Source organism: Homo sapiens, chromosome 11 (genome assembly GCF_000001405.40).
Source record: "Homo sapiens chromosome 11, GRCh38.p14 Primary Assembly".
Classification (NCBI taxonomy): Eukaryota; Metazoa; Chordata; class Mammalia; order Primates; family Hominidae; genus Homo; species Homo sapiens.
Genome location: NC_000011.10, coordinates 108,250,451 through 108,274,610, shown reverse-complemented (window position 1 = coordinate 108,274,610; position 24,160 = coordinate 108,250,451). Strand labels below are relative to the sequence as shown.

The 24,160-nt window shown below is 37.8% G+C and overlaps 1 protein-coding gene across 15 annotated transcripts in view, besides 2 other annotated features; it reads right to left on the bottom strand.

The window, feature by feature from the left end:
* ATM (ATM serine/threonine kinase) overlaps positions 1 to 24,160 on the bottom strand; it is a 146,036-nt gene that overhangs the window by 94,492 nt on the left and 27,384 nt on the right. For all 15 annotated transcript variants that reach the window (XM_011542840.4, XM_047426977.1, XM_006718843.5 and 12 more), the window contains 13 exons: positions 23,539 to 23,910; positions 22,580 to 22,774; positions 21,699 to 21,794; positions 20,572 to 20,797; positions 18,271 to 18,396; positions 17,005 to 17,130; positions 15,536 to 15,625; positions 7,269 to 7,440; positions 6,002 to 6,201; positions 3,465 to 3,547; positions 3,205 to 3,360; positions 2,004 to 2,079; positions 1,759 to 1,889 (listed from right to left, as the gene is read on the bottom strand). In XM_011542840.4, coding sequence (XP_011541142.1) covers positions 1,759 to 1,889; positions 2,004 to 2,079; positions 3,205 to 3,360; positions 3,465 to 3,547; positions 6,002 to 6,201; positions 7,269 to 7,440; positions 15,536 to 15,625; positions 17,005 to 17,130; positions 18,271 to 18,396; positions 20,572 to 20,797; positions 21,699 to 21,794; positions 22,580 to 22,774; positions 23,539 to 23,910 — 2,049 coding nt within the window. The remainder of the gene's footprint in view (positions 1 to 1,758; positions 1,890 to 2,003; positions 2,080 to 3,204; positions 3,361 to 3,464; positions 3,548 to 6,001; positions 6,202 to 7,268; positions 7,441 to 15,535; positions 15,626 to 17,004; positions 17,131 to 18,270; positions 18,397 to 20,571; positions 20,798 to 21,698; positions 21,795 to 22,579; positions 22,775 to 23,538; positions 23,911 to 24,160) is intronic.
* Positions 4,750 to 4,894: an enhancer, noted in NCBI's record as "145 bp 11:108140516 sequence used in MPRA reporter constructs". NCBI's record gives its function as "activates a minimal TATA-containing promoter with rs3092991 allelic activity by MPRAs in UACC903 melanoma cells {active_cell/tissue: UACC903}" and the evidence as "EXISTENCE:reporter gene assay evidence [ECO:0000049][PMID:36423637]".
* Position 4,822: a transcriptional cis regulatory region, noted in NCBI's record as "rs3092991 or 11:108140516 MPRA-significant variant associated with a GWAS melanoma risk locus at 11q22.3". NCBI's record gives its function as "allelic transcriptional activity by MPRAs in UACC903 melanoma cells {active_cell/tissue: UACC903}" and the evidence as "EXISTENCE:reporter gene assay evidence [ECO:0000049][PMID:36423637]".

Below are 24,160 nucleotides of genomic sequence, written 5' to 3'. Positions count from 1 at the left end.
GGCAGAAATAAGTAAGTTCTTTGAAACCAATAAGAACAAAGACACAATGTACCAGAATCTCTGGGACACAGCTAAAGCAGTGTTTAGAGGGAAATTTATAGCACTAAATGCCCACAGGACAAAGTGGGAAAGATCTAAAATCAACACCCTAACATCACAATTAAAAGAACTAGAGAAGCAAGAGCAAACAAATTCAAAAGCTAGCAGAAGACAAGAAATAACTAAGATCAGAGCTGAGTGAAGGAGATAGAGACACACACACACAAAAAAAACCTTTCAAAAAAATCAATTAATCCAGGAGCTGATTTTTTGAAAAGATTAACAAAACAGACCGCTAGCAAGACTAATAAAGAGAGAAGAATCAAATAGACTCAATAAAAAATGATAAAGAGGATAATACCACTGATCCCACAGAAATACAAACTACCATCAGAGAATACTATAAATACCTCTATGCAAATAAACTAGAAAATCTAGAAGAAAGTGATAAATTCCTAGACACATACAACCTCCCAACTAAAGCAGGAAGAAGTCGAATCCCTGAATAGACCAATAACAAGTTCTGAAATTGAGGCAGTAATTAATAGCCTACCAACCAAAAAAAGCCCAGGACCAGAGGGATTCACAGCCGAATTCTACCAGGGGTACAAAGAGGAGCTGGTACCATTCCTTCTGAAACTATTCCAAACAATAGAAAAAGAGGGACTCTTCCCTAACTCATTTTATGATGCCAGCATCATCCTGATTCCAAAACCTGGCAGAGACACAAGAAAAAGAAAATTTCAGGCCATTATCCGTGATGAACATCGATGTGAAAATCCTCGATAAAATACTGGCAAACTGAATCCAGCACATCAAAACGCTTATCCACCACTATCAAGTCAGCTTCATCCCTGGGACGCAAGGCTGATTCAGCATACACAAATCAATAAACATAATCCATCACATAAACAGAACGAATGACAAAAACTACATGATTAAAGGCTCACGCCTGTAATCTCAGCACTTTGGGAGGACAAGGTGGGTGGATCACCTGAGGTCAGGAGTTCAAGACCAGCCTGGCCAACATGGTGAAACTCCATCTCTACGAAAAATAAAAAAATTAGCTGGGCATGGTGGCAGGCGCCTGTAATCCCAGCTACTCAGGAGGATGAGGCAGGAGAATTGCTTGAACCGAGGAGGTAGAGGCTGAAGTGAACCGAGATCACACCATTGCACTCCAGCCTGGGAGACATGAGCGAAACTCCATCTCAAAAAAAAAAAAAAAAAAAAAAAAAAAGAATGAAATTAATATATGTTTATTCCAGTACTCAAATATAAAAGATCCTCATGATAGAATCCTTCCAGTGCTTCACTGGATGTTCACTCAAGTAAATATAATTGTAATTAGCACAATGTAAAATGTGCTAATTATCATTTCATAAACTCACATAAAATCACAGTAATTTCCAAACAGTCCGTATCTCCTGTACATGATAGTAGACACACCTCACTCGAGTCAACCACTTGTTAGCTCTGTGGCATAAGCAAGTTACTTTACCTCACTAAGTCACAGTTTTCATTTATAAATTGAAGGAAATAATAGAATCTAAGTGACAGAAGTATAAGAATTAAGAATAAACATAAATGCCAGGCACACCGTATATACTCAACAAGTGTTAGCTATTTTTAATATTGCAACTGTGAGCTGTTACTATGTAAGACATTCTACTGCCATCTGCAGCATTCCAAATACTTCATGAATATTTGACCCATTACCTATTGATTGACTCTGCAGCCAACATGCGAACTTGGTGATGATTGTCAGCAAGAAATTGTGTAAATACTTCATTTACAGGAAAGTCTTTTCCCATTACATTAAGAATGGCCCATTTTGAATAAGGATCAGCCTACGGGAAAAGAACTGTGGTTAAATATGAAATAGAGAAAAATTACTCATTAACAAACAAAGACTGCTTTAAAATTTTCAATGGAGATCTTACTAAAAAAATGCAAAAACTCACCTCAAGCAAAGTTTTAAGGCAATTTACTAGGGCCATTCTTACAGAGAATATATATTTCCTCTCCTTTGTTAGATGCCTGAAATCAAGTAAGTTTTCCAAAGTTAAATAATCATTCTGATAAAAGCACTCAGAAAACTCACTGAAAGGTTATTGTAAGTTACTTCCAATATGTCTTTCTGTGCTAAACTTATTTGTCATTATGTGGAATATGCCAACATACTCACCTTGCCAAAAATTCAAGCTAAAAGAAATTAGTGTAAAAGAATTCATTTTAGCGTATATTATTTGTTTTATACCATTATGTCCTTTTTTGGGGGCTACCATAGAATGGCTAAACTACATTACAGTAAACTTACTTTAGAAAGAAATTTCTTTGTTTGGTATATTGAAGATTTCTTTGTTTGGTATATTGAAGATTTCAAAACCACATTCAGGCTGGGTGCACTGGCTCACACCTGTAATCCCAACACTTTGGGAGGCCAAGGTGGGCAGATCACTTGAGGTCAGGAGTTTGGGACCAGCCTGGCCAACGTGTTGAAACCCCATCTCTACTAAAAATACAAAAAAATTAGCCAGGCATTGTGGTGGGAGCCTGTAATCATAGCTGCTCAGGAGGCTGAGGCAGGACAATTGCTTGAACCTACTAGGCGGAGGTTGCAGTGAGCAGATATAGCACCACTGCACTCCAGCCTGCAGCCTGGGTGATGGAGTGAGACTCCATCTCAAAAAAACACAAAAACAAAAAACAGTCTATTGATTTAGAATTACTTAGCAATCAGATAGTACAAGGGTTCTAAATTATATGTATGTGCTCCTCTGTAAGTATCAGGGTGTTATCTTGGAATGTGACAATATGCATAAAATAACCAGATAAGGACAAGGCCAATTTGTTCACTTAGGGAACATGAACAATTCAACTGATTTTGGCTTGTTATCCTTTATTCACTATACATGTCAAATTATTAAGTGATTCAAAATTTGCAGAGAAATGAGTTAAACGGTTTAGAAAGCCAAGCCTTAAACAAAAAGCAATGTAGTTCTTCAAGCGACTGAGGGAAACACAAATTACATTCTGCTATTCTTAAAAGATGTATTAGCTATGTAGGAAGATCAGAAGAAATCACTGATGTGGATACAAAACTTGCATTCGTATCCACAGATAGCAAAAGAAAAATAGGACCACAAAATAGACTGTACCTACCAAAATGCTCCAATTACTGTAAGAAACTGTCCTTGAGCATCCCTTGTGTTCTCAGAGTCCATATTGCTTTGACCTAGGTTTTTCACTACATGAAGGACATGGTTTAAAATAGTTTTACAAACATCTTGGTCACGACGATACAAAGAACACACATTGCTGTGGTAAAAAAAAAAAAAAAGTTCAACTTTATAAGCTTAACAGAACACATCAGTTATTTTATAACTTTAAAGTGAACATAACATAAGGTTTTAATTTCTTACGATAGTGGTTTCAGAAGTTCAAGAACATCTTCCATTGGCAAGGGGTACTCTTCTCCAGGAAGCTCCTTTAAAAGCATTAGATACTAAGATGGTAGGAGGGAAAAAAATCAGGTTTATCCACAAATCATTTACTTTAAAAAGTATATAAACATAGGCCGGGTGCAGTGGCTCACACCTGTAATCCCAGCACTTTGGGAGGCTGAAGCAGGCAGATCACAAGGTCAGGAGTTTGAGAACAGCCTGGCCAATATGGTGAAACTCCATCTCTACTAAAAACACAAAAATTAGCCAGGGGTGGTGGCAGGCGCCTATAATCCCAGCTACTCAGGAGGCTGAGGCAGGAGAATCGCTTGAACCTGGGAGGCGAAGGTTGCAGTGAGCCGAGATCGCGCCACTGCACTCCAGCCCGGGCAACAGAGCGAGATTCCGTCTCAAAAAAAAATTTTTTTTAAGTATATAAACATAAATTCATACATGCACACACATACACACACACACACAGCTGTAAATATTTAAGAGGTGTATAGTAAAAACAAAAGGCTTTGAAGTCAAACAGAAAATTCAAATCCCAGTACCACAGCCTTAACTTTTCTGGTAAAAAACTTGCCTTATGTCATCTAGGGCCTTCGTACCCTCATCAGTAGAGTGAAGATATATCACTTACCTGGCCAGATAACTGTGAGGATTAGAGAAAATAAACGTAAAAGTCTAGCTTCTATTGTGGAATTCAATAAATGATCATTATTACCACTGTTGCAGTTAAGAGCTTGAGCAAGATTCTGAAACTGTAAGTCTCCACTCTCCCAAAATAATGCTTGGGGATAATAGACCAGTGGTTGAAAACTATTAATGAATTTTGGAAAGCAGAGATAATCATGGGCAGGGAAGAAGTCAAAAACCTTGACCTATCTTCCCATAAGGCAATCTTGTAAGGCTCTTTATGGTACTATGCACAGAAAGGGCTGCTGCAACGACCAGTTATAATGGTAGTTATTATCTGGGCAGCCAGTTTCCGAGAACTACCAAATAATTTTCTGGCTATACTGAAATAATAAGGGATTTTTTTTCCTATTTACATATAGAATAATATATTTCTTAATCCTTTTCAGATATTAACAAAGGAAATTAAATGATCCTTTTCATTATTTGACATGAGAGTCATGTACATGAGGTTACTGAATGTTCTGAAGTGACTTGAAACATCAATACTTCAAGAAAAGCATGTAACTTCCTCTTGGTCAGGGATAGAGACTTGAGTATCTGCGAGGACCTAAACCAGGGGCCCAAACAGGGCACAACCAAACTTGTCTTCTCACTCTAAGGGATTGACGTGCATTTTCACCAAGGGTGGGAAACATGACCAGGGATTCCACCAATGACTCAGCCTACAATTTACTGTGATCAGAGGTTCTAATTAGGGACTCACCAGGCATGTGTGACAATTTGCTGGAACTGGGGACATGACCTAGGACCCAACTTGCTACTCGCTAGGCCAGAGGCTCTACCTCCACATACACTGGGGCTAGGGCTAAGAAAATGGCCCACATGGTTAGATTAGTTATATATAAGGTTGTTGAGCAAATAAGTAAATGCATTCAGGTTGAGTGGATAGTCAGGTTTTGGGGTGTTTTTTTTAACTGCTAGTAAAGCAATTTATAAATTTGGACAGAAAAAAAGATAAACTGTGTGATGTTGGCTTGGATTTGAAGATATCTATCAACAGACAGATAAATGGACAGGGTGAAGGCAGAAGAGGAATTACTTTTGCAACATTCTCGTCAAAGTATAAATTTAATCATAAGGAAACATCAGACAAACTCAGAGCAAGGGACCTGTACTATTCAAATATATGAAGGTCATGATAAATAAAAAAAAGAACTGTTCCAGATTGAAGGAGACTAAACAGACTACACACCTAAATGCAATGACAAAATGTTAACTTCCTGATTTTGATGATTATACTGTGGCTAAACAGAAGTGTATCCTTGTTTTTAGGAAATATACACTGAAGTATAAGGAGCATCACGTGTGCGATTTCATCTCAAAATGGTTCAGAGAAAATGATGTGTGTATCTGCGTATGAGTGTGTGTGTGGAGAGAGGGAATGATTAAGCAAATATGGTAAAACGTTAACTGTAGTATTCTTGTAACTTCACTATCATTTTGAAATCAAATCCAAAAAACTGAAAATATATAAACTAAGGTCAAAGGCAAGGTTCCAACTTCAAACACAATGTTATGTAATATTTTTACATTCAGGGTCTATGTTTCTTAGCCTAATTAAAATAATTTATAACAATTAAACCTAAAGAGAATAAATCTATCCAAAACCCATCTAAGTTTTAATATTTCAGCATCCACTTAAATTTGCTCACAGCACGTTAAAAGTGTTATTTTCCAACTAGTCTCAGGTTCATTTCTCAAGAAAGCAATTTCAATTCTTCAAAGACACCATGTGATTCTTACATGTCAACTCATTACATTTAGTCAGCAACATCAGATAAAATCCAAGAGCTTCTTCATTTAACGTAACTCACCATATGCAGGTGGAGGGATTTGGTAGGTTCTAGCGTGCTAGAATCAATTAACATTAACAATTTCCTCCGAATATCAGCTGCCCTAAAGGACACAGTATTGGTCTGAGCAGTAGTTACACACAAACACAAGAACTTGAGCATGTCTAAGAAAAGTAGATCTTGCTTTGACAGATATTCTTCAGCTAAAGGATTAATGGCACCTAAAAATAAAAAGCACTCATTAACACTAAGAGAAGGGCACAACAGCCATATATAGTCATATTAACTCAAATTTCCTCCTCTTCACAAAAAAAAGTATATGAAAAGCAAAATTATAGTGAAATTAATTATATACTGAAAGCTTCAAAAGTCTTTTTGAAAAATTATCCAAGATTCTGTTGTCAAGAAATAATTTAAAATATGAGAAAAAAAAACCCTTAGACAAATGATCATTGCAATAATGTTTATTGTAGGAAAATAGAAAAGAATCTAAATTTCTGACAATAAAAAATGTCAAGTAAATTATGGTATTTATGACAGAAAAATGGTGAAGCCATTAAAAAGTATGACTATCAAGAAAAGCAACTACCTGGAAAAATACTTATAATTAAACAGGCATTCATAACATGTGAATGTTGATGTTGACTACAATTTTGAATGTTTCTACAGAGAAATAATAGAAAAAGGTTAAAAGCAATGGCATTACAGGTGTGTTTTCATTTCCTGCTTTCTATTGAGGAAATAACCTATCATATGATTTTATTTCTTTTTTTGAGACGGAGTCTCGCTCTGTCGCCCAGGCTGGAATGCAGTGGCATGATCTCGGCTCACTGCAACCTCCACCTCCCCAGGTTCATGCCGTTCTCCTGCTTCAGCCTCCCGAGTAGCTGGGACTACAGGCGCCCGCCACCACGCCCATCTAATTTTTGTGTTTTTAGTAGAGATGGGGTTTCACCACGTTAGCCAGGATGGTCTTGATCTCCTGACCTCATGATCAGCCCGCCTTGGCCTCCCAAAGTGCTGAGATTACAAGCGTGAGCCACCATGCCTGGCCTGGTTTTATTTCTTTAATAGTTATCTTAAGTTCCTTCTATGAAGAATAAAATATGAAACTAATAAATTCAAGTAAAAATAAAAAAAAAATAAAGTATATAAGAAAGGAACAATCCTAAAAGGCTATACTAAGAGAAAATGAAATAAGCACAAAATTGATATCAATGAGGCCTCTTATACTGCCAAATCAATATAAAGAAGTAAAAGAAATCCCAAGTAGTAAATATGTATTTACCTATGGTACTTTGGCTCTCTCCAGGTTCGTTTGCATCACTAACACTACTATCAGGGTAATCGTTAAATAGATTCATGGATGACTGATCCTCCACCTCCATTAGATTTCCATTAGTATCATCTTCCATTGATTCTACTTCTCCACGGTCAAATGGCTTTTTGATGAAGGATGCCTTCAAGGAAGAGAAACAAAGATGTTCAAGATGGCTTCTTGCAGGAGCATGCTGTAGTCAAAATTTACCTAATCAGGCTGGGCACAGTGGCTCACATCTGTAATCTCAGCAATTTGGGAGGCAGAGCCAGGTGGATCACCTGAGGTCGGGAGTTCGAAACCAGCCTGGCCAACATGGTGAAACCTTGTCTCTATTTAAAATACAAAAATTAGCTGGGTGTGGTGGTGGGCACCTGTAATCCCAGCTACTCAGGAAGCTGAGGCAGGAGAATCACTTGAACTCAGGAGGCAGAGATTGCAGTGAGCTGAGATCATGCCACTGCACTCCAGCCTGGGTTTGACGAAGCGAGACTCTGTCTCAAAAAAAAAAAAAAAAAAAAAATTTACCTAATCAAACAATTCAAGGTTCATGTGTAAGTATGAAAACTACAGTACTTTTTCTACTAAATGTCCAACAATAGTAAAATGGATATATAACCTGTAATATGTCTACATAACAAAATAATATGCAAACTTTAAAAATTATTATTTTTTTTATTACACTTTAAGTTTTAGGGTACATGTGCACATTGTGCAGGTTAGTTACATATGTATACATGTGCCATGCTGGTGTGCTGCACCCACTAACTCGTCATCTAGCATTAGGTATATCTCCCAATGCTATCCCTCCCCCCTCCCCCCACCCCACAACAGTCCACAGAGTGTGATATTCCCCTTCCTGTGTCCATGTGATCTCATTGTTCAATTCCCACCTATGAGTGAGAACATGCGGTGTTTGGTTTTTTCTTCTTGCGACAGTTTACTGAGAATGATGATTTCCAATTTCATCCATGTCCCTAACAAAGGACATGAACTCATCATTTTTTATGGCTGCATAGTATTCCATGGTGTATATGTGCCACAGTTTCTTAATCCAGTCTATCATTGTTGGACATTTGGGTTGGTTCCAAGTCTTTGCTATTGTGAATAATGCCACAATAAACATACGTGTGCATGTGTCTTTATAGCGGCATGATTTATAGTCCTTTGGGTATATACCCAGTAATGGGATGGCTGGGTCAAATGGTATTTCCAGTTCTAGATCCCTGAGGAATCACCACACTGACTTCCACAATGGTTGAACTAGTTTACAGTCCCACCAACAGTGTAAAAGGATTCCTATTTCTCCACATCCTCTCCAGCACCTGTTGTTTCCTGACTTTTTAATGACTGCCATTCTAACTGGTGTGAGATGGTATCTCATTGTGGTTTTGATTTGCATTTCTCTGATGGCCAGTGATGATGAGCATTTTTTCATGTGTTTTTTGGCTGCATAAATGTCTTCTTTTGAGAAGTGTCTGTTCATGTCCTTCGCCCACTTTTTGATGGGGTTGTTTGTTTTTTTCTTGTAAATTTGTTTGAGTTCATTGTAGATTCTGGATATTAGCCCTTTGTCAGATGAGTAGGTTGCGAAAATTTTCTCCCATTTTGTAGGTTGCCTGTTCACTCTGATGGTAGTTTCTTTTGCTGTGCAGAAGCTCTTTAGTTTAATTAGATCCCATTTGTCAATTCTGTCTTTTGTTGCCATTGCTTTTGGTGTTTTAGACATGAAGTCCTTGCCCATGCCTATGTCCTGAATGGTAATGCCTAGGTTTTCTTCTAGGGTTTTTATGGTTTTAGGTCTAATGTTTAAGTCTTTAATCCATCTTGAATTGATTTTTCTATCAGGTGTAAGGAAGGGATCCAGTTTCAGCTTTCTACATATGGCTAGCCAGTTTTCCCAGCACCATTTATTAAATAGGGAATCCTTTCCCCATTGCTTGTTTTTCTCAGGTTTGTCAAAGAGCAGATAGTTGTAGATATGCAGCGTTATTTCTGAGGGCTCTGTTCTGTTCCATTGATCTATATCTCTGTTTTGGTACCAGTACCATGCTGTTTTGGTTACTGCAGCCTTGTAGTATAGTTTGAAGTCAGGTAGTGTGATGCCTCCAGCTTTGTTCTTTTGGCTTAGGATTGACTTGCCGATGCGGGCTCTTTTTTGGTTCCATATGAACTTTAAAGTAGTTTTTTCCAATTCTGTGAAGAAAGTCATTGGTAGCTTGATGGGGATGCCATTGAATCTGTAAATTACCTTGGGCAGTATGGCCATTTTCACAATATTGATTCTTCCTACCCATGAGCATGGAATGTTCTTCCATTTGTTTGTATCCTCTTTTATTTCCTTGAGCAGTGGTTTGTAGTTCTCCTTGAAGAGGTCCTTCACATCCCTTGTAAGTTGGATTCCTAGGTATTTTATTCTCTTTGAAGCAATTGTGAATGGGAGTTCACTCATGATTTGGCTCTCTGTTTGTCTGTTGTTGGTGTATAAGAATGCTTGTGATTTTTGTACATTGATTTTGTATCCTGAGACTTTGCTGAAGTTGCTTATCAGCTTAAGGAGATTTTGGGCTGAGACAGTGGGGTTTTCTAGATATACAATCATGTCGTCTGCAAACAGGGACAATTTGACTTCCTCTTTTCCTAATTGAATACCCTTTATTTCCTTCTCCTGCCTGATTGCCCTGGCCAGAACTTCCAACACTATGTTGAATAGGAGTGGTGAGAGAGGGCATCCCTGTCTTGTGCCAGTTTTCAAAGGGAATGCTTCCAGTTTTTGCCCATTCAGTATGATATTGGCTGTGGGACTGTCATAGATAGCTCTTATTATTTTGAGATACGTCCCATCAATACCTAATTTATTCAGAGTTTTTGGCATGAAGGGTTGTTGAATTTTGTCCAAGGCCTTTTCTGCATCTATTGAGATAATCATGTGTTTTTTGTCTTTGGTTCTGTTTACATGCTGGATTACATTTATTGATTTGTGTACATTGAACCAGCCTGGCATCCCAGGGATGAAGCCCACTTGATCATGGTGGATAGGCTTTTTGATGTGCTGCTGGATTCAGTTTGCCAGTATTTTATTGAGGATTTTTGCATCAATGTTCATCAAGGATATTGGTCTAACATTCTCTTTTTTGGTTGTGTCTCTGCCTGGCTTTGGTATCAGTATGATGCTGGCCTCATAAAATGAGTTAGGGAGGATTCCCTCTTTTTCTATTGATTGGAATAGTTTCAGAAGGAATGGTACCAGTTCCTCCTTGTACCTCTGGTAGAATTCGGCTGTGAATCCATCTGGTCCTGGACTCTTTTTTGTTGGTAAGCTATTGATTATTGCCACAATTTCTGATCCTGTTATTGGTCTATTCAGAGATTCAACTTCTTCCTGGTTTAGTCTTGGGAGAGTGTATGTGTCCAGGAATTTATCCATTTCTTCTAGATTTTCTAGTTTATTTGCGTAGAGGTGTTTGTAGTATTCTCTGATGGTAGTTTGTATTGCTGTGGGATCGGTGGTGATATCCCCTTTATCATTTTTTATTGCGTCTATTTGATTCTTCTCTCTTTTTTTCTTTATTAGTCTTGCTAGCGGTCTATCAATTTTGTTGATCCTTTCAAAAAACCAGCTCCTGGATTCATTAATTTTTTGAAGGGTTTTTTGTGTCTCTATTTCCTTCAGTTCTGCTCTTAGTTATTTCTTGCCTTCTGCTAGCTTTTGAATGTGTTTGCTCTTGCTTTTCTAGTTCTTTTAATTGTGATGTTAGGGTGTCAATTTTGGATCTTTCCTGCTTTCTCTTGTGGGCATTTAGTGCTATAAATTTCCCTCTACACACTGCTTTGAATGCGTCCCAGAGATTCTGGTATGTTGTGTCTTTGTTCTCGGTGGTTTCAAAGAACATCTTTATTTCTGCCTTCATTTCGTTATGTACCCAGTAGTCATTCAGGAGCAGGTTGTTCAGTTTCCATGTAGTTGAGTGGTTTTGAGTGAGATTCTTAATCCTGAGTTCTAGTTTGATTGCACTGTGGTCTGAGAGATAGTTTGTTATAATTTCTGTTCTTTTACATTTGCTGAGGAGAGCTTTACTTCCCAGTATGTGGTCAATTTTGGAATAGGTGTGGTGTGGTGCTGAAAAAAATGTATATTCTGTTGATTTGGGGTGGAGAGTTCTGTAGATGTCTATTAGGTCTGCTTGGTGCAGAGCTGAGTTCAATTCCTGGGTATACTTGTTGACTTTCTGTCTCGTTGATCTGTCTAATGTTGACAGTGGGGTGTTAAAAGTCTCCCATTATTAATGTGTGGGAGTCTAAGTCTGTTTGTAGGTCACTCAGGACTTGCTTTATGAATCTGGGTGCTCCTGTAGTGGGTGCATATATATTTAGGATAGTTAGCTCTTCTTGTTGAATTGATCCCTTTACCATTATGTAATGGCCTTCTTTGTCTCTTTTGATCTTTGTTGGTTTAAAGTCTGTTTTATCAGAGACTAGGATTGCAACCCCTGCCTTTTTTTGTTTTCCATTTGCTTGGTAGATCTTCCTCCATCCTTTTATTTTGAGCCTATGTGTGTCTCTGCACGTGAGATGGGTTTCCTGAATACAGCACACTGATGGGTCTTGACTCTTTATCCAATTTGCCAGTCTGTGTCTTTTAATTGGAGCATTTAGTCCATTTACATTTAAAGTTAACATTGTTATGTGTGAATTTGATCCTGTCATTATGATGTTAGCTGGTTATTTTGCTCATTAGTTGATGCAGTTTCTTCCTAGTCTCAATGGTCTTTACATTTTGGCATGATTTTGCAGCGGCTGGTACCGGTTGTTCCTTTCCATGTTTAATGCTTCCTTCAGGAGCTCTTGTAAGGCAGGCCTGGTGGTGACAAAATCTCTCAGCATTTGCTTGTCTGTAAAGTATTTTATTTCTCCTTCACTTATGAAGCTTAGTTTGGATGGACATGAAATTCTGGGTTGAAAATTCTTTTCTTTAAGAATGTTGAATATTGGCCCCCACTCTCTTCTGGCTTGTAGAGTTTCTGCGGAGAGATCCGCTGTTAGTCTGATGTGCTTCCCTCTCAGGGTAACCCGACCTTTCTCTCTGGCTGCCCTTAACATGTTTTCCTTCATTTCAACTTTGGTGAATCTGACAATTATGTGTCTTGGAGTTGCTCTTCTCGAGGAGTATCTTTGTGGCATTCTCTGTATTTCCTGAATCTGAATGTTGGCCTGCCTTGCTAGATTGCGGAAGTTCTCCTGGATAATATCCTGCAGAGTGTTTTCCAACTTGGTTCCATTCTCCCCGTTACTTTCAGGTGCACCAATCAGACGTAGATTTGGTCTTTTCCCATAGTCCCATATTTCTTGGAGGCTTTGCTCATTTCTTTTTATTCTTTTTTCTCTAAACTTCCCTTCTCGCTTCATTTCATTCATTTCATCTTCCATCGCTGATACCCTTTCTTCCAGTTGATCGCATCGGCTCCTGAGGCTTCTGCATTCTTCACGTAGTTCTCTAGCGTTGGTTTTCAGCTCCATCGGCTCCTTTAAGCACTTCTCTGTATTGGTTATTCTAGTTATACATTCTTCTAAATTTTTTTCAAAGTTTTCAACTTCTTTGCCCTTGGTTTGAATGTCCTCCCGTAGCTCAGAGTAATTTGATCGTCTGAAGCCTTCTTCTCTCAGCTCGTCAAAGTCATTCTCCATCCAGCTTTGTTCCGTTGCTGGTGAGGAACTGCGTTCCTTTGGTGGAGGAGAGGCGCTCTGCTTTTTAGAGTTTCCAGTTTTTCTGTTCTGTTTTTTCCCCATCTTTGTGGTTTTATCTACTTTTGGTCTTTGATGATGGTGATGTACAGATGGGTTTTTGGTGTGGATGTCCTTTCTGTTTGTTAGTTTTCCTTCTAACAGACAAAACCCTCAGCTGCAGGCCTGTTGGAGTACCCTGCCATGTGAGGTGTCAGTGTGCCCCTGCTGGGGGGTGCCTCCCAGTTAGGCTGTTCGGGGGTCAGGGTCAGGGACCCACTTGAGGAGGCAGTCTGCCCGTTCTCAGATCTCCAGCTGTGTGCTGGGAGAACCACTGCTCTCTTCAAAGCTGTCAGACAGGGACATCTAAGTCTGCAGAGGTTACTGCTGTCTTTTTGTTTGTGCCCTGCCCCCAGAGGTGGAGCCTACAGAGGCAGGCAGGCCTCCTTGAGCTGTGGTGGGCTCCACCTAGTTCGAGCTTCCCGGCTGCTTTGTTTACCTAATCAAGCCTGGGCAATGGCAGGCATCCCTCCCCCAGCCTCGCTGCCGCCTTGCAGTTTGATCTCAGACTGCTGTGCTAGCAATCAGCGAGACTCCGTGGGCGTAGGACCCTCCGAGCCAGGTGCGGGATATAATCTCGTGGTGCGCCGTTTTTTAAGCCCGTCGCAAAAGAGCAGTATTCGGGGAGTGACCCGATTTTCCAGGTGCCGTCCGTCCCCCCTTTCTTTGACTCAGAAAGGGAACTCCCTGACCCCTTGCACTTCCTGAGTGAGGCAATGCCTCGCCCTGCTTCGGCTCGCGCACGGTGCGCACACCCACTGACCTGCGCCCACTGTCTGGCACTCCCTAGTGAGATGAACCCGGTACCTCAGATGGAAATGCAGAAATCACCCGTCTTCTGCGTCGTTCACGCTGGGAGCTGTAGACCGGAGCTGTTCCTATTCGGCCATCTTGGCTCCTCCCTCAAAATTATTTCTTATATTAAGAAGTTTTGTAACACCTAAAGTGTTACCCAAAGAGGGTGTAGGAAAATGCCTAAATTGGTATGACTATTTTGGAGGACAATGACAATATCCATCAAAAAGTAAAATTCACATTCCTTTTGAACAAGCAAGTCTACTGCTAGAAATTATCCTACATCCATCATACACACAAATACAAATAGACAAAAGTACAATAATCTGTACCACAGAAGTCTTTGTAACCCAAAAAACTAGAAACCACTTAAAATGTTAATTAAGAGCAGATGGGCTTTTTGGCTCAGTGTGGTGGCTCACACCTGTAATCCAAGCACTTTGGGAGGCCAAGGTGGACAGATCATTTGAGGTCAGGAATTCTAGACCAGCCTGGCCAACATGGTGAAACCTGGTCTCTACTAAAAATACAAAAATTAGCCGGTTGTGGTGGCACACATCTGTAATCCCAGCTTCTTGGGAGGCTGAGGCAGGAGAATCTCTTGAACCTAGGAGGTGGGGGCTGCAGTGAGCCGAGATTGTGCCACTGAACTCCAGCCCGGGCAACAGAGCAAGACTTTGTCTCAAAAAAAAAAAAAAAAAAAAAAGAGCAGATAAGCTTTCATATACATATATACTATTCACTATCACCACACAATAGAATACCATGCACTGCTAAATAAATAAAGTATAACAGCAGATAGCTTATAAAATAAGTACAGTGACATGGAAAATGATTAAGATGTGTCATAAAATGGAAATAAGTTACAGAATATGTTTTCACTCAATAGATATTTCAATAACTACTTTGTATGCCCGGCAGTGTTCCAGAAAAAAGAATGTATGTGGCATAAGCCCATTTGTATGGAAGAAAAATAAATACTACAATAAGAATATGTTGCTTGCCTGGCAAGATTTTTGGTCACTTTTAAAGAACAAATAATTATTTTAAATTTTGGTACAATGTTGCGCAGATATAGCTGTGAGCCTGGATGATTCGTTCCCAATTTTTAAATGTATTATTTATTGAGAAACTAAAGGCAGGCACTACTATGCTAGGTATTGATATTAAGAAGCAATCAGGTATATTTCCCCACAAGACAAATTATTTAATTTCCACATTTTATTTAATTTTTTAAATTTTTTTATTTTTGAGATGGAGTCTCGCTCTGTCGCCTAGGCTGGAGTGCAGTGGCACGATCTTCGCTCACTGCAACCTCCACCTCCCAGGTTCAAGCAATTCTGCCTCAGCCTCCCGAGTAGCTGGGACTACAGGCACATGTCACCACGCCTGGCTAATTTTTAGTATTTTTAGTAGAGACGGGGTTTCACCGTGTTAGCCAGGATGGTCTCAATCTCCTGACCTTGTGATCCACCCACCTCGGCCTCCCAAAGTGCTGGGGTTACAGGCATGAGCCACCGCACCTGGCCTTAATTTCCACATTTGTAAAAATGTTAAGAGCTATATGTTGTGAGATGCATCCTTATTTACAAAGATATTTCAACAAAAAAATTATGCCTATTAGAATCAAAATATGATAGCAAAACAGGAAGCATACTTACTAAACTTTTACAAATATCTGCAATGTCATTCATTAGCTTTGATGTTAACAATCGCAGGAAAAAGCCAGATGCAATCTTATTTGGACTCTTCTGCAATTAAGACAAACAAAGAACCAAGCAACAAAGAAATAAAAACAATTATTCTTGGCAGACAGTGTTTTCTCTATCTTGAATGGAATGTAGATAAATAGTTTACTATTAGGGCCAATATATATGCTGCTTCAAAAACACATCTTTTCTTAGAGTTATAATAACTATACTGTACATCTTTCATTGTGCTTTAACAACATTAAAGTAACAGCTATTGACCCTAAAGATAAGTGAGCTATAATTATAGGTTAGAGTTTATTCTACTTTTCTCCTTCCCCACTTACACCAAAAAGGAGGAAAAACACATTACAAAACCAAGAAATATGTTGATAATATTGCTATATGGCCATGTACCTAATACTAGGTTTGAAATATATTTCCAATTATTATCAATACTCTGGGGCCTGGCTTGGCTATCCCACAGGCTGCTGCAGATAAAAACAAAGATTAAACACAGTAGCACTCTTTCTACCAAATGTTATGTAAGGTGATCTGAGCAAAAGAAAGTAAACTATGTGCTGGAGTTATTGTTGTGTTGCTCACTAGCCCCGCTACGCATACCACATAGTTTGGGTCAAAAAATTTTTATTAAATGAATGAAAGTGTCCCAGGAATAAAAGAGTCATCTATATGGTTGTATATAAAAGTCATAAGGCAATCTCAGAAAAATTCCTGAAATTATAAAATTAGTTTCATGAGAAACTCAGATTCCTATTGCTTATTTGTCTGGATATTACCTTTATGTACCATTCAACTGAATTTTAAATCAATTTGTATAACTTATGAATGTGAACAGATATGGTAGCTGACACCTGTAATCACAGCACTTTGAGATGTAAGCATCACTTGAGCCCAGGGTTTGAGACTAGCCTGGGCAATGTGTAAAACCCCATCAATACAAAAAATTACAAAAATACAAAAATCAGCCAGGCATGGTGGTGTACACTTGTAGTCCCAGCTACTAAGGAGGCTGAGGTGGGAGAATCACTTGAGCCCAGGAGGTCGAGGCTGCTGTGAGCCCAGGAGGTCGAGGCTGCTGGATCGCAGTGATGTGATCACTCACTCTGGGTGAAAGAGTGAGAGACTGTCTCAAAAAAAAGAAAAATAAAAGTAAAAAATAAACTTACGAGTGGACACCAAAACAGTAACACCAACCAGTGATCAATTCCCTGCATAGGCTACACTTTCAAGTAAAAAGAAAATTTTAGCTAGGTGGTACATGCCTGTAGTCCCAATTACTTGGGAGGCTGAGGCAGGAGAATTGCTGGAAACCAGGAGGTCAAGGCTACAATGAGTTGTGACAATCCCACTGCACTCCAGCCTGGGTGACAGAGAAAGATCCTATCTCAAAAAACAAAACAAGAAGAAGAAAATCTTACCTTGGTACAGTTGCTCAAGCAACGTGTACATAGCTGCATCATATTTCTCAAGGAACCAATTCTGAATTCCTCATTTGTCTTATTTTTAAACAGAGTGATACTTTCTCCTGCACATTGCATTAGAGACTATTGTGAATAGAAGGAAAAATGCAAATTCCAGTTAAAATTATAGTTTAGTATTGCTTTTTACAGTGTACTTTGATCTTGGACATACTATAAAATAAAAAATAAAGTGCACTTAAGAGAAAAAATGAAATGTTTTTAGAAGTTCCACGTAGTCATACAGTATAAGCAAAACTCATTAACAATTTTTTAAAATGGCAAATCTTATACTCTGTTCTTGCAAATCATACCAGTGACAGAGTACTACCAAGAGATAAGAAAGAGTTTCATGCTTACAGCCTATCATTAAAAAGTCAGGAAACAACAGATGCTGGACAGGATGTGGAGAAACAGGAATGCTTTTACACTGTTGGTGGGAGTGTAAATTAGTTCAATCATTGTGGAAGACAGTGTGGCAATTCCTCAAGGATCTAGAACTAGAAATACCATTTGACCCAGCAATCCCATTACTGGGTATATACACAAAGGATTATAAATCATTTTACTATAAAGACACATGCACACGTATGTTTATTGCAGCACTGTTCACAACAGCAAAAACTTGGAAGCAACCCAAATGCCCATCAATGATAGACCGGATAAAGATAATGTGGCACATATACACCATGATATACTATGCAGCCATAAAAAAGGATGAGTTCATGTCCTTTGCAGGGACATGGATGAAGCTGGAAACCATCATTCCCAGCAAACTAACACAAGAACAGAAAAACAAACACTGCATGTTCTCACTCATAAGTGGCAGCTGAACAATGAGAACACATGGACACAGGGAGGGGAACATTATACACCAGGGCCTGACAGGGGGTCGGGGGCTAGGGGAGGGATAACATTAGGAGAAGTACCTAATGCAGATGACGAGTTGATGGGTGCAGCAAACCACCATGGCACTGTATATCTATGTAACAAACCTGCATGCTCTACATCATGTACCCCAGAACTTAAAGTATAATAATAATTAAAAATTAAACAATTAAAACAATTTAAAAAATACATAGTATAATTTCTTCTCACATTACATAAATAAAAGAGAAAGGGTTAACCTGCATAAAATTTAATGTCTTCCAAACAAATGTAATAATTTTCACAGGAATACATTTCATTCAAATTTATCCGAAACTTTATTAGTATAAATTCTCCTACCTTGGCTTTCTGGAATAATTCTGACTTATATGCTTCCTCTTCAGCTATTACACCCATGTAACAGTAGCAGCCAAGGACACCCACCAAAAGACGTGAACACCGGACAAGAGTTTCTGAATTTGTAATCTTAAAGTAAACCACAAATAAAAATATATATATTTCATAAATAATTTAGTATACTCTATCTTTTGTAAGAACAAATTCTACATACATATTAAAAAACAAAAGTTCAGTTAACTGAGTTAAAGGTGGCATATCCTGGATAGCTCTAAAAACAACTAGGAGATCACTGTAGAATTATAACCAGGATTCTCAAGAAAAATAGCCTAAGTATCTCCTGATGGCCAAGCAGGATATATCATCTTAGGGTGGAGGGTGTACTGTACACATAGGCCCTTAAATATTTGAGGTAGGGATGAAAGAAAAGAAAAAAAGCTTCACAGGCAAATAAATGACTGTAAGTCTTAGAACACAAGTAGAAATTACAGTCATATAAAGAGACATTAAAATGACATTTTAAGCTTCTGAAGAATAGGAACCTTGACTTATTCAGCTTTTTAGACTCCACAGAATAGCATAAAACATTTTTTCTAGTAGATACAAGTTTTGACAGCTGGCCGGGCATGGTGGCTCACGCCTACAACCCCAACACTTTGGGAGGCCGAGGCGGGCAGATCACCTGAGGTCAGGAGTTCGAGACCAACCTGGCTAACGTGGTGAAACCTTGTCTCTACTAAAAATACAAATATTAGCAGGGCGTGATGGCAGGCACCTATAATCTCAGCTACTCAGGAGGCTGAGGCAGGAAAATTGCTTGAACCCAGGAGGCGAAGGTTGCAATGAGCCGAGATCAGGCCACTGCACTCCAGCCTGGGCAACAGAGCAAGACTCCATCTCAAAAAAAAAAAAAAAAAAAAAGTTTAGACAATTTTATAGAATTACTAAGAATCTGCTAAGTTACACACAAAATGTTCAGATTTTTTTTGTTCCTACAGGGTAGGAAACGGCATTTTAGGAGAAAATATACAAAACTAAATTACTTTGTAATGAAAGTGGTTACAATTGTGGTGCAGAAGAATGTCAGTAAAGATCATAAAGAGGCACACTGTCCCCTCTCATGTCCTCAAGTCATTTTCCCTGGCTACCGAATTCACTCCTTTGAATGGATTGTAGGCTTTATTTAATCATTTACCATGTAATAAGGCACTGTGGAGGATATAAAGATAAATAAAAACATGTATGCCCTTTTAAGAGTTTATGTTTAAGAGTTATAGTTCAAGAGATATTTGTATACAAACCATATGTAAATATCCATGGTATAAAGAAGATGCTAACTGCCATTAAAAATGTGAAACATTAAGTACTATGAAATTAAAAGATGAAAAATTATTAGGCCAGGCACCGTGGCTCACGCCTGTAATCCTAGCACTTCGGGATGCTGAGGCGGGTCCATCACCTGAGGTCAGGAGTTTAAGACCAGCCTGGCCAACATAGCAAAACCCCATCTCTACTAAAAATACAAAAATTACCTGGGCGTGGTAGCACTCGCCTGTCCCAGCTACTCGGAAGACTGAGGCAGGAGAATTGCTTGAACTGGAAGACGGAGGTTGCAGTGAGCCAAGATCACGTCACTGCACTCCAGCCTGGGCAACAGAGCGAGGCTCTGTCTCAAAAATAAAAATTCTTAGAATCTTACTTTCTGAGATTCTAAGAAAGGCGTTAGCAAGGATTTTCACATGTGGATGATCTGAATACACAGAAATAGGTAGAAAGACATTTCACATTTTAAAAAATGCAAGTTTTGGCAAGAGAATAGTATACATGAAGAGAACTCGTGATTTTGAGGCTAAAGGAAATTCCTAGATGACGTCTAAAATAATTGCTAGTCCATTTATTGTCTTTACTAATCACTCATCTCTCTTCAGATGCCACCAAAATCTATTAGATTTGTTTACATCGTGTTCTTTTCTATTACTGTAACATTTCCCTCCTTTGTATTTAGAGGTTTTTTTCATCATATAATCCCTATGCTCAAACTCTTACTATTCCTCACTAACCTACACAAGGAATTATTTTATGTCTACCATAATTTCCAGTACAAAGGAAGTACTCAAATTATTATTCTTGAGTTTTCCTTTAATTATGCTAAGTTGTCCAATTTAGAGCCCTTTACTGCCACTTTGCTTTTAAAATGAAGCCTCCCACCATCCTTGCTGTTTTTCCTGCCCCTATTTCTCCTTCCTAACAGTTTACCAAAGTTGAATCATATATAAGCTTAGTTCTTTTTTTAAAAAATCTCACCTCAGATGAGTAATTATTCAGAAGCTGTTCTGATAATCCCAGAAGACAGCGATCCAGTGATTCCTTGAGATTCTGGTGGACAGAGAAGCCAATACTGGACTGGTGCTTTTCTATACCACATTCTCTCACAATGGTTAAAAAGTCCATCTTGTCAAAAGTTGTCTGAAGAAATAGTTCTTCTACTTCTGAGAATGAAAGTTCTTCTTTATCTTTTTGGTGGTGTTCACTTCAAGAAAGTAAGATCTTTAATATATAAACCAAGTACCTAATGCTTTGCCTTATATGTATTAGCAATATATTACAAAGGAAAACATTAACCTAGTATCTACATCATTCAAAGACTACTTATATAATTAATAGATTATTCTTTTAAATGCTTCTCTTCTTCGGACTTTGAGACCTACTTATATCAAATGTCATTATTCAGTAGCAAATTTTACTAATAGATAGAGAAAAAATACAAGTTACAATCTCAAAGGCAAATTCAGAAAGTATTTTTAAAAACACCAGATATAAATGTTAAGCATAACATTGTCTGCAAACATATCCCTTTTTTCACCAAGCAGAGGAAGTAAAGAGCATAGGTTTAAAAACCTTTAACATCTGGTATAGGTAAGCAGTTACGCATCCTTTTGCCCTCTTGAGGGAGATAAGGAATGTTTGTGCCAGTGAGTCATTTTCAGTCACAGCAATACAATCTAAGTCTCTTGAGTCAATCAACTAAACTCAGGTTTAGATTTATTTTTGTTTTCAATTATCATTAGTTTTTAAAGCTAACAAATAGTCAAATCATAGTTGATGTACAGAAATGGGTAACATCTTTAAGAACTTATTTCATATAAATTTTATATTCTTAATTTCCCAGCATAACCATTCAGTTTTTCTCATTGGCACTTGTCACATATTATACTATACAGCATTAAAAAATAGTAAGCTTGGTCTAATGTTATATAACATAGATTACAATCACTGAATTAAAACAACCTCTTCCCTGGCTAACAGTTGCAATTTTTTTGGACCAATTTAGTTTACAATTATTAAGATGCAGCTACTACCCAGCTAAAATTATCATCTTTGTAATTAAAGCTATAGCTTAAAATGATAAAGAGCATTATTAGATAACATACCATTCTGGCACGCTTTGGAAAAAATTCATTGCAGCTTTACAGTTTTTCATAGTGAGACTCACAAGAATTTTCTCCAGTACAAGATGAGGAAAATTACTACAAAGAAAAACAAAAAGCTTCACTTAGAAGACCAAAAGCCATGTAAAGAATACTTTAAACTTTAACATCCATGTTTAGCTATAAATCTTGACTTCTAAAATTTGGATCCTAGATTAAAATTGCTTTCATCTATACTAAATTTCTTAATATCTAAAAGGACAATTTAAGGAGGACAACCATTGTTATTATCATTTCCAATACTGTTTAGAAACAGCATGTTTAACATTATTTCTGAAATAAATAAAAGGTTGTAAAATTAAAGCAAAAGTACTTTAATTGGATCCATTCGGAGGTCTGCTCTCCAATCATTTGGTTCCAATTACCAATCTGTGGAAAGGTTAAGTGGACGAGGGACTCCATTCCTTTATCCTAGTGCTTACATCCTGTTTTGTCTTCCTCGTTTCCTCACCTCATTCATAAAACATCTTTTACCCAAAAGACACTCCCATTATGAGAAAGGATCCAGGATCTACATGACTCAAATATATGGACTTACTTATTTAAAAAATCAGAAAGGAACACATAAATGCTCAAAGAATTATATGTGCATTTTTCATGCACATCCCCCATATTCTCACAGTGAGACAACCCTTTATTTCAGAAGCAATCAGGCATAAAGACACAGATAACTGTAAAAACAAACATAATATTTAATAATTAAGGTTAGATCTGGGAAATTCTGCATTATTATTATAAAATAAAGCCATCTGGCATCAAATAAGTGGAGAGAGCCTGATAAAACAAACAAAAAAAACAGCAGCATGCTAATGAACTTAAATTACCTGTGAAGAATTGGAGGCACTTCTGTGCTATTTTCTAAGTCACCCTCTAACTGATAGAATAAGAGCCATTTCATTATTGATTCCTTTAAAGAAAAGCTTCTATTTACTTCACACATATTTTGCTCTATTCCCATTTTTACCGTTCCTGGAACTATACTGGTGGTCAGTGCCAAAGTCAAACAGCATACTGCAGGACTATAACAAAACAAAGGACAATTGTGAAAAGCAAGCTATTGGAGGGGCAAAGACTTTATCTATCAGGACAGTGCCTGGCACATACATTTAGTTAAGGTGACTAAATGAACATAAAAACTGTTAAAAGTCTGATTACATTTGGGAAGATTCTTGATTAAAAAATAGCTCGTTTATTAACAGTGCATAGTACTACAATTTAAACATGGCTATTTAATAAATAATGATAAATTGCACATAAAAGAAATTTAAACTCTTCATAATTCTTTAAAGAAAGTCTTTTGGATACACGTATACAATTAGAAGGAATAAGACCTGGTGTCCGATACATCAGTAGGGTGACTACGGTTAACATTAATCTATTGTACATTTCCAAACAGCAAGAAGAGAATAATTCAAACGTTCCTAGCATGAAGAAAAGATACGTAGGGTGCTGATATCCCATCACCCTACATGAGTGTGTCATATGAGTGTGTCAAATTATCACATGTACCTTGATAATATATAACTCTATTATAGATCAATTAAAAATTTTTTAACTAAAAAAGAAATTCCTTAACATTAGTCTTTAATAATTTGTCAACATTTGAAACTAAATTCACTTATGCATTTATTAAGTCTTCTCGGCCAAACAAGAAAAGCATCTGAAATAGAATTTGACATCTTTAACTGAAGTAACAAACTATGAAAATGATCAGGGATATGTGAGTGTGTGTGTGTCTGTGTGTGTTTATCTGTAAGTCAGACATAATGCATGCTGAACTTACCATGAAGGTCTGCAGGCTGACCCAGTAAATAACTTCCAGAATTCTCTGTCAACCTCAACTAAACTACCCTGAATTATGGCTCCAAGTAAGCCAAAGTTTTCAGCTTGTATTTGCTCAGAACTTATACCACGAAAGGTAATACACCAAATTTTATTCCAGAGTTTTAATAAATCTGACTTTTGTGAGCTTTCTAGGTTTGACCTCTTGTCTTGACACAATGCAACTTCCGTAAGGCATCGTAACACATATGGTGTACGTTCCCCATGTCGCTGTTGGGGTAGAAGCTGAGATAGTATCATCAGTAATGGAGACAGCTCACAGTTAGGTAAACTTGCAGGATACTTTGATATTAATTGGGTTGCAATCTGTAGCCTAAAAAAAAAAAAAAAGGATAATTTGAAAACTATTCCATCACATTAACAAACTAAAAGGAAATATATAGACATGGTACTCTTACAATATCCTAATTAGAGAATCACCATCATTTCCATAGTACTCTAAAAATAAACTGGCTGTTAATAGTTACTATGTCCTACTTCCTAAATTGGCAGGAAAATTGTCAACGTTTGGCTAGCTGGGTAAGCTGTTAAGTTTCCCTTAAACAAATATTTTAAAGGATATT